This window comes from Homo sapiens, chromosome 2, assembly GCF_000001405.40.
Source record: "Homo sapiens chromosome 2, GRCh38.p14 Primary Assembly".
NCBI lineage: Eukaryota > Metazoa > Chordata > Mammalia > Primates > Hominidae > Homo > Homo sapiens.
In genome coordinates, this window is record NC_000002.12 from 201576224 (window position 1) to 201590095 (window position 13872).

The window sequence follows — 13872 nt, forward strand, 5'->3', positions numbered from 1 at the left end:
AAGGATAAGATGTTTTGTTTAAGGCATAAATAAAAAAATAAAGACTATGTTCAACCAGATAAGGACAGAAACAAGCATACTCTTCCACTGTTTTCAGCAGAGGACTCTGTGACTATAAAAGATTAGGCTTTCAGCAGCTCGAAACAGCCATCTTAACTGACACCATCTTACAGTCACTTGTGATAAGAACTTGACTTCTGCCACTGAAGGTTCTGCAACCTCAGACTCTTCCTTGCAAGACCAATGGACTGCCCAGCCCAGACCAGGGCTCCTTTTGTCTTCTTTGCTCCCCATAGGCCAGTTCGTTAACCTTTTCTCCTATTTCTTTTTCCTCTTGATATTAAATGTTACTTTGTTGTGGAATGTAATGTTTACATACTAAGTGTACTATTATGTATGTTTGCAATATTGACTGACTTGTGGAGTGGCTTGAGCCTGTGTGCCCACGGCACGCGGAGTGAACGGGAGGTACTTAAGGAGAACTGGCTCCTTGGGAACTCCATGTAGCTTGTGGCTTTTGTGATTGAAATAGCATTAATAAAAGCCTGACATTGTGGAAAGACACAAACATGCATGGGCCTGGTTACCTCTAACCTTGCACCCTCCTAAGAGAGGGGTTACTTAAACATAATTCTATATGATAAGCTGAGTCCCGATAGGACTGAGTACTTCTCGCATCTCTCAGGGATGGCTGGATCTTTTAAACCACGTTAACCTTTGGTATCCCTGCTCAATATCTATAGTCATCTCTGCTGTAATGAGTAGGTCCACAATTTTCCAGAAACTTTTTGAGTGCCAAAATGACACAGAAGTAAAAAAACTCCATACTTGGCCTATGTGACAGACAAGCCACAATCAATATACAATGAAGACTTTGTTTCATGCACAAAATTATTTAAAATATTGTATAAAATTACCACCAGCCTATGTATATAAGATGTATATGAAACATAAATGAACTTCATGTTTAGACTTGGGTCCCATCCTCAAGCTATCTCATTATGTATATGCAAATATTCCAACATCAAAAAAAAATTAGAAGTCCAAAATGCCTCTGGTCCCAGGCTTTTTCAGATAAGTGATATTTAACCCGTACAGACATTCTGGAAAATACTATGGGTGTTCCTCAAAAAATTAAAAATATCATTACTATATGATCCAGCAATCTCACTTCGAGTATACATTTAAAGGGATTGAAATCAGTATGTCAAAGAGATATCTGCACTCATGTCAGCACGATAGCCAAGATATGGAAGCAACCTAGTGTTCATCACCAAATGAACAGATGAATATGTGCTGTATATACATACATGCAATGGAATACTATGCAGCTTTAAAATAAAAGGAAATTCTGTCATTTGTGACATGGATAAAACTGGAGAATTTTATTCTAAGTGAAATAAGCCAGGCACAGAAAGACAAACACTGTATGATCTCACTTATCTGTGGAACCTAAAAAAGTCAATCTCATAGAAACAGTAGAAAGGTGGTTACCAGAGGCTGGGGAGTAGGGGTAGGAATGGAGAAAGGGAAGATGTGTATAAAGTTAGACTGGAGGAGCAGGTTCTAGTGATCTCCTGCACTGCCTGGTTAATAGTAACGTATTGTATATTTCAAAACTGCTGAATAAAATAGATTTTCATCATCCTCATTATAAAAAAAGATAAGTTGGTGAGGTGATGGAAATATTAATTGGTTTGATTGAATCTTTTTCAGTGTATACATAGATCAAAACATCACATTGTACCCCATAAATATATACTGTATTTATCAAGTAAAAATAAATGATCAGCTAAAAAATTAATTTATGGGCAAACAGAGGAATACACCCATATGGAATTGTATGCAGCAGCAAAAAATTAACACTAGCTAAGTGTATTAATATTAGAAACATACTACATTTAGAAATATAATATTTCTATAATCATACATAAGTAGTAAAGCTATGAAAAATAAGGGAATAATAAATACAAAGTTTTGGATAATCATTTTTTCTTGAGGGAGAGGGAGGAGACAGAAGATGGCATCAAGCAGCAACATAAAGACTTGAACTCTATTTTTATTATAATAAAACAGAGAAAATGCAAAAACCTTGCATTATAAAAGTCCTTTAGACCTCATCTTCTCCCTATGCTATATGCTGTGGTTGTCATATGCATTACCTCTCCAAACATTATAAACCGCACAGATCATGTTATAATTTTTACTTTAAATAGTCACACAAATTTTAACGGAAGTAATAAGAAAACCTCTAGCACCTCCATTCTGCTGTTGAGCCCATTCAGCAAATTTTTAATTTCAGATATTTTACTTTTCAGTTCCAGAATATGTATTTGGGTCTTTTTATATTTTCTATTTTTCTGTTTATGTTTATAAGAATGAATTGGAAAGAAACTCTGAACAATGAAATGTTATATTAGAATTGTGGAATGATGGGTGATTTCTGAATTTTAAAAAATTTACCTTTGTATTTTAAAATATTAGCATATTATTCATGATCTTATAAAAATAAATATTGAAAAGTTTGCATATATGCTTCTAGTCTAAGTATCTAAGCTTCTACATTTTCTTCAACAAAAATTAACTAATAAGTAATGTCACATTTTTTGATGCCTAAATTGCCATACAGTCAAAGGAACTTTAGTCATTTCCAAAGATCTTCTCCCAAAATATTTTTGAGAATCTCTGGTTGCTTACACTTATTCATTACTCCATATGTTTATCCTTCTTCATCTCTTTCTATGTATTAGAAATTTATCTGATTTAACAGTATGCCATTTTTTAAAATCTCTGTGTGTGTATAGATATGTTTGCTGATCTATTTATAAGTTGCAATCATCATTACTCTTCACTCCCAATGTTTACCTTGGATACTGTAAAAATAAGAAAATTCATACATATATATCCACAATATCAGTATTATACCCAAGAAAATTAACAATTCTAGAATTTTTTCTAATATTCAGTAAATATTTATTAAATTTTCCTAATTGTCCCAAGAATGTCTTTTATTTATGTTTATGTTTTATTTTTTGAGACAGGGTCTCACTCTGTTGCCCAGGCTGGGGTGCAGTGGTGCAATCATGGCTCACTGCAGCCTCGACCTCACTGGGCTCAGGTGATTTTCCTGCCTCAGCCCCCCATGCAGCTGGTACTACAGGCAGGTGTCACCATGCCTGGCTAATTTTTTGTGGGTGTTTTTTTGTGGGTTTTGTTTTTGTTTTGCTGTTTTGTTTTGTTTTTAGAGAAAGGGTTTCACCATGTTCCCCAGGCTGGTCTCAAACTCCTGGGCTAAAGCAATCCACCTCCCTCAGCCTCCCAAAGTCCTGGAATTACAGGTGTGAACCACCAAGCCTGGCTCCCAAGAGTCTTTTACAACTTTTTCGAATCTGTATTCAGTCAAATGTGTTGTATCTCTTTAAATCTAGAATAGTTCCTTCCATCTTTGGTGCGTTTTGGTTTTTTTTTTAATGACCAAAGCTATTTAAAGAATCTACACTGGTATGTCCCATTTCTGTACTTATCTTAAGGTATTGTTTAACATTTTCCCCTACTCACTAAATTCCCGTAAACTTGAAGTTAGTTCTACACTCAGCTTGATTAGATTTGGGTTACACTTCTTTCTTTTTCTTTTTTTTTTTTTTTTGAGACAGGGTCTTGCTCTGTCACCCAGGCTGGAGTGCAGTAGCACGATCATAGCTCACTGCAGTCTCGAACTCCTGGGCTCAATCGACCCTTCTGCCTCAACCTCCCAAGTCACTTGGACTACAGGCACATGCCACCACACCTGGCTAATTCTATGTGTGTAGAGACAGGGTCTTGCTATGTTGCCAGACTGGTCTCCAACTACTGGCCTCAACAACTCTCCCACCTTAGTCTCCTAAAGTGCTAGGATTACAGGCCTGAGCCACTGCACCCAGCCAGGTTAAACATTTTTGATGACGATAAGTCATAGATAATACTGTGTACTTCACATTGTATCACTACAGGAAGTACATGATGTTAAGTTATCCACAATTCATTATGCTAAATTCGAGCTCTTGGTTAAAGTGGCAACTACCACATCTGTCTATTGTAGAGTAACATTTCCCCTGCGCTGTTACTACGGCACCATGCAAATATCTTGCTTCCCAATAAACTTTTACCTAATGGTTTTTAGTGCCATTGCTAAATATTGACTGAATTAATCATTATTCATTACAAAGAGTTGCAAAAACAATAATTTGTAATTCTTTCATTACTTCTACATTCATAAACTGGTATTCTTTTGTTTTAAAATTTTCCTTTTTCTTCCTATGCCACATCTTTTCTTCTCTTTTTTGAAGATCACCAAGGAGTCACGAATTTTCCTTTATTCAGAATGTTGCAATAATCTATGTTCAAGTTATTCTGAAGTTGGGCAATAGGAGTCCCTGCAATCTGGCTGTTGACATAACCCCATTAGTCTTTGAAGACTTCCTTGCTGTATGTAACAAAAAACATTCCTGAAAATACTTTAGATTGTTTATACTTATTCACCAATCAGTAAGTTCTTGACTCTGAGTTCAACACAACCACAAAATGAGCTGCCGGAAAGTGAAAAGGACTCCTAGAAAGGAGAAAACAAGAGGGAAGCAACCATAAAATCTGTATATAAACTCTGCCCAAATCTTTGGCTAACCTCTAAAAGACACATGCACAAGGAAGTCTGTAAGCAGCCCAGCTAAGGATGAAAGAACTAAACCAAAATTTGTATTGCCAACTAAGAGACAGAGTTTGCAGCTTCAGTCATGTCTTAAGACATTTCAGAAACATAATAAAACATGTTTAACTTTATTTAGCCATTCTACAATGTATACATATTTCAAAACATCATTCTGTACACGATAAATATATGCAACTTTTATTTGCAAATTTAAATAGCCAGGCACAGTGGCTCAGGCCTGTAATCCCAACACTTTGGGAGGCTGAGGCGGGCAGATTATTTGAACTCAGGAGTACGAGACCAGCCTGGGCAACACAGCAAAACCCTGTCTCTACTAAAAACACAAAAAGCAGTCTGGTGCAGTGGCATGTACCTGTAGTCCCAGATAGTGGGGAGGCTGAGGCAGGAGAATCCCTTGAGCCAGGGAGGCAAATGTTGCAGTGGGCCAAGAAAATTTATTTTCCAGAAAGTTAGTTAGTGATACAACCTAAAAGTGTAAGTGTGGGTTTTTTGGTTACTTAATTTCATATATATATATATATATATATGTATACACACACACATTCCGGAATATATATATATATATATATATATATATATATATATATATATATATAAAATATTCTGGAAAAAAATGTGTGTATATATATATATATATATATATATATATATATATATATATATATACACATACATATTCTGGAAAATATTTTTTTTCCAGACGGAGTATTGCTCTTGTTGCCCAGGCTGGAGTGCAATGGTGCAATCTTGGCTCACCACAACCTCCACCTCCCAGGTTCAAGCAATTCTCCTGCCTCAGCCTCCCAGGTAGCTGGGATTACAGGCATGGGCCACCATGTCCAGCTAATTTTGTATTTTTAGTAGAGATGGGGTTTCTCCATGTTGGTCAGGCTGGTCTCGAACTCCCGACCTCAGTTGATCTGCCCACCTCGGCCTCCCAAAGTGCTGGGATTACAGGCTGGAAAATAAATTTTTAGAAACATTATGCTATTATAAGCCAACTCTTTTAAAAAATATATAGCCAAAAGGAGATTTTATTTCTTAAACACATGAATTTGAAGGCAGATAATAAACAAAAAAAGCCCATCAAGTATAATAAATCACAACAAACTGGACAACCAACTGGCAACGTGATACCAAGGTGAAAAAAATCATTTTATACATACCTGAATTACCTCATAAAGATGTATCTGAACACTCCCTAACAAGAAAGCACGTTTTTCTCTATTGTCATATTGTATGAGTTCCAATAAAATATTATTCCGCTTATCATCATAACGTCTGGGAACCTCAATATCAAAATATATAAGAAAAGAAGCATTAAATTTGAGCCTAAATATTTCTGAACACATACATCCAATATACTATTACTATATTATGCAAATATTATTATGCAAATACTATTGCATACTATATTATGCAAATAAATATTATTTGCATACCTAGTGATACGTTTTTGTATGTCATTAGCTTTATAACTTTCAACCTCACAGTCACATATATACTAATATCAACAAAATGAAGATCTTGCTTATATCTAACGGCAATTATCATCTTTTGGAAACACCCATTACCTACATTCTCTTTTTAACACTACACAAAAGTTCACCCTCAATACTCTATTGAAACTACACTATCAAAGATAATCAACTACCCAATACGAAATCCAAATAATCCAGATAATCCAAATACAGGTTATCCAAATATCCAACACTAAAAAATATCTAATATCCTTTTCAGTCTCTGTTCTTTAACTTTTTGACAAAATATATACCATTGCCTGAACTTGAAACTCTCTCCCAACCCTGAGCTCTGGAGCACAGTACCATTATTATGTAATCTTTAATATCTGTACACTATTGCTAATTAGAAAAAAAGTCATGCCTCCCCACTCCTAAGAATCCAGGTGCCTTCCTGCAGTGTTTCTCCTGATGGTTGAAATCAGAGCCGATATCAGCCTTCTTAAAGTTATGCTAGTGACTGTCTTCCCCCAAGAAATGAGAAAAAGGAATGCAAGCCCTGTGTGCCAGCAGACTAGTTAAGAGGGCAGGCTCCATTTTTCAACAATTTGGCATCTTGATTATTGGAAACAGTAGAAAACTACAAATGCTCAATAAAATATTTAAAATACCATTTTAAAAGCAAAACAGGGTTAATAAAATGGTGAGAAGTAATCATATAAAACTCCAAGTATTGACAGACACTCAGAGAAGTAAACTAGACCCTGAAGTTACATTTGCCCTCAGGGCACTTCCCAATCAGGTGACCTAAAACTGCAGTTCATATGGTCTTGAAAGGCAAAGAACAGAGAAGACAAGACATGATACATTTAACAGAGGGTCCTTCCCCAACCATCCTCCCAGAAAGCTGAGAACCCAAAGGGCTACGGCTTCAGTGAATGGAGAACCCCTTCTCCCATCACATCTACAGAAGGCTGCAAGGAAAGTTGTACTGCTGAGTAGAACGGAGTGTTGGGTCCCTAATAAGCTATAAACAAAAACCGGTTCAGTGAAATTGCAGCCTAAAGTCACAGTCACTGAATCTTATAAAAAATTTCGAGCCAGATACTTAAAATGGTTTACATGGTAAACATTATATTATGTATATTTTGTCATAACATAAACAAATAAACAGGACGACTTATATTTTTTAAAATATCTCAAGTGGAATTTAGTTGAAAATGGTCCCAAACTGGTAGTGGGCTCGGTTGCCTTAGAAGAAACACAAATCTTGCGTAGAGCTCCTACTTTCATCCTAGACCTCAAAGAAGTTCCACAAATAATTTTCCAAGGAAAATGAGCAGTTAACAGTCAAAAATAACTCAGTCAGCATGGAAACAAAGCGCCACAAATGAGAAGAGCAAAAATAGACCCCCAAAACACCTTAAATATTGGAATTTTAAAGAGCTATGTTTACTATGTTTAAAGGAACAAAAACCAAACTGAAAATATACTCCTGGCACAGGAAACTTTAAAAATGATTTAACAAACCTAAACAAGGAACAACTTGTAGAAAAGAAAACTAAAACAATTGAATAAAAACACTATATCAACTCAACCACAAATCTGATGCAGCTTTGGAGAATTAACGAACTAGAATTAAGGAATCCCAGCACTTTGGGAGGCCAAGGTGGGTGAATTGCTTCAGCCCAGGAGTTTGATACTAGCCTCGGCAACATGGCAAAATCCCATCTCTACAAAAAAATACAAAAAGTAGCCAAGCATGGTAGTGCACGTCTTTAGTCCCAGCTACTCAAGAGGCTGAGATAGGAGGATCACTTGAGCTCAGAAGGTTGAGTCTGCAGTGAGCCGTGATCGCGCCACTGCACTCCAGTGTGGGTGACAGAGGGAGACCCTGTCTCAATAAAACTAATAGTAATAAAATAAAATAAAGATCAGAAGAATTACTTGGAATGCTGGGCAGAGAGACAAAGTGATGAAAAATATTTTTTATAGGTTAAAAGACATGGAAGATAGTGTAAGAATACCTAACGTAAGTTAACCAGAGTCCAAGGAAAGGAAATAAAGGATTAAGAAAATGGAGCAGAGAAGCACTATTTTAAGAAATAATAGCTAGCCAGGCATGGTGGCTCATGCCTGTAATCCCAGCACTTTGGGAGGCCGAGGTGGGTGAATCACAAGGTCAGGAGTTCGAGACCAGCCTGACCAACATGGTGAAACCCCATCTTTACTAAAAATACAAAATTTAGCCGGGCATGGTGTCGCACGCCTGTAATCCCAGCTACTCAGGAGGCTGAGGCAGGAGAATCGCTTGAACCCGGGAGGCAGAGGTTGCAGTCAGCCAAGATCGTGCCACTGCACTCCAGCCTGGGTGACAGAGCAAGACTCTGTCTCAAAAAAAAAGAAAGAAAGAAAGAAAGAAATATTAGCTAATAATTTTTCATAACTAATGAACATCATCAATCCAGGTTAAGCAGCCAATAAATCCCAACATAATATACAGAAACCCAAATACAAACACATCAGAGTGAAATTAGAAGAAAAAAATATATAACACACACAGAAAGAGGAAGATACATTATTTTCAAAGGTGACAGACTGACAAGTGACTTCTCTTCAACAAATATGGAAGCTAAGAGATAGTGAAATACTTCAGAAAATAACTGCAAATTTACAATTCTATACTCAAAAAAAATTTCATTCAAAAATGAGAATGACATAAAGACCTGCAAACTAACAAAAGAACAGAAAACCAAACACCGCATGTTCTCACTCATAAGTGGGAGTTGAACAATGAGAACACATGGACACAGGGGAGGGGAACATCACACACCAGGGCCTGTCGAGGGGTGGGGGGATAAGGGAGGGATAACCTTAGGAGAAATACCTAATGTAGATGACGGTATGATGGGTGCAGCAAACCACCATGGCACGTGTATACCTATGTAACAAACCTGCACGTTCTGCACATGTATCCCAGAACTTAAAGTATTAAAAAAAAAATTCCCTACAGAACAAGAAAAAAAAAAAAAAAGACCAGGCAAACAAAATCATTATGTCACCAACTAACTCTCATAGGAAAAATAATTTTAAATAAATAGTTCTGACAGAAGGTAACTGACCCCAGGAGGATGATCTGAGCTGTAAGAAAAGTTAAAGTGGCAAATATGTAGGTAAACTAAACAAATATAGACTATATTAAATAAATACAAATTACAACTCAAGGGAATTAAAAATACAAAAAAAAGAGACAATAATAACATATTAGTTGAGGGTGATAAATGGAATTAAAGTTTCTAAGATCCTTGCTCTTCCCAGGAGAAGGATGAAAGATGAGGATATTGTTAAACATTGGATTTGATAAGCATACATAATTTCTATGATAGCCATTTTTAAAAAGAGTAGTGTATAATCTCCAAAACAAGAAAGAAGAAAAATGGAATGAAATTGTAAAATACAGTTGACCCTTGAACAACATGGTTTGAGCTGCATGCGTCCACTTACACATGGTTTTTCAATAAAAGTTAGACCCAATGTGCCTGCCTCTCCTGCCTCTCCTTCTACCTCCTCCACCTCTTCCTCCTCCGCCACCCTTGAGACAGCAAGACCAACCTCTCTTCTTTCTCAGCCTGCTCAATGTGAAAACGACAAGAATGAAGACCTTTATGATGATCCTCTTCCACTTAATGAACAGTAAATACGCTTTCTCTTCCCTATGATTTTTTTAACGTTTTCTTTTCTCTAGTTGCGTTATTGTAAGAATACAGTATATAATACATAACATACAAAATATGTGTCGATCAACTGTTTATGTTATTGGTAAAAATTCTAGTCAACAGTAGACTATTAGTAGTCTACTGACTGGGGAAGTCAGTTTTGACTGCAGAGGGGGGTCAGTGCCTCAGTGCCTGTGTTGTCCAAGCATCAACCGTACTCAATCCCAGAGATGAAGAAAAGAAGACAAAAGAGGAAAGAAGAAAAAAATAATCCATGGTTCAATTGGGATAAATAGAAAGCACAAAAGAAGGTAATAGATTTAAACTCAAATATATTATAATTATATAAAATGTAACAGATGCTACAGTAACGTTACATACATTAACATTACATATATTAACTACTACACTAACAGATGTAGATAAAATAAAAAGACTGTCAGACTGGATATTTTAAATCTATATTCAGTTTACAAAAGATACAGATAAAACATAATGTAATTTATATTTTTCTAATATAATATTCTATTTCATCAATATTTTCAAATTTTTAGCATAGAGTTATATATGGTATTCTCTTACAGTTTTTAACTGCCTTCATATTTATACCTATATTCCAAATTTTGCATAATTTTCTTAATGAGACTTACCAGAATTGTGCCTACTGTGTTACTTTTATTACTAATTAGCTTTTGTATTGTTACATTTCTTTAACATCTATACTGTTGTAAATACCTCATTTATTTCTTTTGTTACTAATTTCTTCCTCTTGATTTCCTAAAGTTTTACTGTCATTTTCTAAGTTCTCAAATTTAATGCTAATTTAGTTTCCACACTCATCTTCCTCCCTCCTTCCCCCCTTCTCCCTGGCTCCCTCCCTCTCTTTCTCCTTTCTTCCTTCCTAATACAATTTTGTTTAACTTTTAGTGGTTGCTGTAGGGATTATAATATGGATCTTTCACATATCACAATGTATCTTGAATTAAAATTAAACCACCATGTCCAATAGCATAATTCTATTTACACCTCCTCATTCTCTGTGCTATTCTGGCCATGTATTGCACTTCTACATATGCTACAATTCCTATCATTCATTGACATTATTGTGTTTTTAAATAATAAAACTCAATTGTCTTTTGGATAAATTTTTTTAATAGTCTTGTATTTTTACCCACTCATTTACCATTTCTAGTGCTCTTCCTTCCTGTATATCTGGGCTTCTATCTGGGATCATTTGTCTTCAACCTGAAGCTTTCTTTGATATTTATTACAATGCAGGTCTTCTAGATACAAATTCTCTCAGCTTTTGTCTTTCACCATCTTTTTGAAGTATATTCTCACTGAATATAGAAATCTAGGCTGAATTTCCCCGCCTCCCAGCATTCTAAAGCTGGCATTCTCTTGTCCTCCGATTTACATTGTTTCTGATGGAGAGTCAGCTGATATTCTTATTGTTGTGCATCTGAATGTAATGTGTTTTTCCCTCCTCTGGCTGCCTTTAAGATTTTCTCATTATCTTTTGTTTTCAGCAGTTTGAATGGGACGTACATATGTGTGATCATTTCTGTACTTACTCACTTAAGGTTCACTGAGTTTCTTGAATCTATGGATGGATTTTTAATCAATTTGGGGAAGACTTAGGTCATTAGTTCTTTAAATATTTCCTCTTCTGGATTCAAATAAAGACAACCAGAAACGACAAGGGGGATATTGCCACTGACCCCACAAAAATACAAACAACCATTAGAGAATATTATGAACACCACTATGCAAATAAACTAGAAAATCTCCAAGAAATGGATAAATTCATGGTCACATATACCCTCCCAAGACTGAACCAGGAAGAAACTGAATCCCTGAATAGACCAATAACAAGCTCTGAAATTGAAGCAATAATAAATAGCCTACCAACCAGAAAAAGCCCAAGACCAGATGAATTCATAGCTGAATTCTACCAGATGTACAAAGAAGAGCTAGTACCATTCCTACTGAAACTATTCCCCAAAATTGAGCAGAAGGGACGCCTCCCTAACTCATTCTATGAGGCCAGCATCACCCTGATGAAAACTTGGCAGAGATTCAACAAAAAAGAAAACTTTAGGCCAATATCCTTGATGAACATTGATGCAAAAATCCTCAACAAAATACTGGCAAACTGAATTTAGCAGCAGATCAAAAAGCTTGCCCACCACTGTCAAGTAGGCTTTATCCTTGGGATGCAAGGTTGGTTTGACGTATACAAATCAATAAATGTGATCAATCGCATAAACAGAACTAAAGACAAAACCCACATGATTATCTCAATAGATGCAGATAATGCAGCTATTGAATAAAATTCAATACCATTCATGTCAAACACTCTCAATAAACTAGGTATTGAAGGACCATACCTCAGAATAATAAGAAAGATATTATTATTCTGAGGTATGGTCCTTCAATACCTAGTTGAAACCCACAGCCAACATCACACTGAATGGGCAATGGTTCCCTACTCTTTTTTTTTTTTTAACAAACCTCAACTTTATTCAGCTGATGTGCTTCAAAAACAATGGATGTAAATCCAAACCAATTCCCTATTCCCCTTAAAAACTGGCACAAGACAAGGATGCCCTCTCTCACCACTCCTAGTCAACATAGCATTGGAAATCCTGGCCAGGGCAATCAGGCAAGTAAAAGAAATAAAAGGTATCCCAATAGGAACAGAGGAAGTCAAACTATCCGTTTGCAGATGACATAATCCTACATCTACAAAACCCCATAGTCTCACCCCAAAAGCTTCTAAAACTGATAAACAACTTCAGCAAAGTCCTAGGATACAAAATCAATGTGCAAAAATCACTAGCATTCCTATACACCAACAACAAGCCAAGAACTGAATCAGGAATGAACTCCCATTCACAACTGCTATAAAAAGAATAAAATACCTAGGAGTACAGCTAACTAGAGAGGTGAAAGATCTCTACAAGGAGAACTACAAACCACTGCTCAAAGAAGTCAGGGATGACACAACAAATGGTAGAACATTCCATGCTCATGCATAGAAAGAATCAATATCATTAAAATGGCCATTACTGCCCAAATAAATTTATAGATTCAATGCTATTCTTATTAAACCCCCATTGAGATTCTTCAAAGAACTAGAGAAAACTACTTTAAAATTCATATAGAACCAAAAAAGAGCCCAAATAACCAAAGCAATCCTAAGCAAAAATAACAAAGCTAGAGGCATCACACTACCCAACTTCAAACTATACTACAGGGCTACGTAACCAAAACAGCATGGTACTGGTACAAAAACAGACACATAGACCAAAGGAACAGAACAGAGAACCCAGAAATAAGACCACACACCTACAACTATCTGATCTTTGACAAACCTGACAAAAACAACCAATAGGGAAAGGATTCCCTATTCAATAAATGGTGCTGGGATAACTGGCGAGCCATATGCAGAAGATTGAAACTGGACCTCTACCTTATACCATATACAAAAATTCACTCAAGATTGATTAAATATTTAAATGTAAAACCCAAAACTATAATATAAAAACCCAGGAAGACAACCTAAGCAATACCATTCAGGACATAGGCAGGGACAAAGATTTCATCATGAAGACACCAAAAGCAATCTCAACAAAAGCAAAAATTGACAAATGGGATCTAATTAAACTAAAGAGCTTCTGCACAGCAAAATAATCAACAGAGTAAACAGACAACCTAAAGAATGGGGGAAAATTTTTGCAAACTATGCATCTAACAAAGGTCTAATATCCAGCATCTATATGGAACTTAAACAAATTTACAAGAAAAAAACAAACAACCCCATTAAAAAGCAGACAAAGGACATAAACGGATACTTTTCTTTTTATTTATTTATTTATTTATTTATTATTATTATACTTTAAGTTTTGGGGTACATGTGCACAATGTGCAGGTTAGTTACATATGTATACATGTGCCATGCTGGTGCACTGCACCCAATAACTCATCC

General features: G+C 35.9%; 1 protein-coding gene across 19 annotated transcripts in view; it reads right to left on the bottom strand.

Annotated features, from left to right (window-relative positions):
* Positions 1-13872, bottom strand: part of CATSPERT (catsper channel auxiliary subunit tau) — a 131758-nt gene that overhangs the window by 88803 nt on the left and 29083 nt on the right. For 17 of the 19 annotated variants that reach the window (XR_007069662.1, XM_047443508.1, XM_047443507.1 and 14 more), the window contains one exon: positions 5872-5994. The exons of the other annotated variants lie outside the window; for them this stretch is intronic. Coding sequence is in view for 16 of the 17 variants with exons in the window: in XM_047443508.1 (XP_047299464.1) it covers positions 5872-5994 (123 nt within the window). In the remaining variant the exon portion in view is untranslated. The remainder of the gene's footprint in view (positions 1-5871; positions 5995-13872) is intronic. 19 annotated transcript variants of the gene reach the window in all.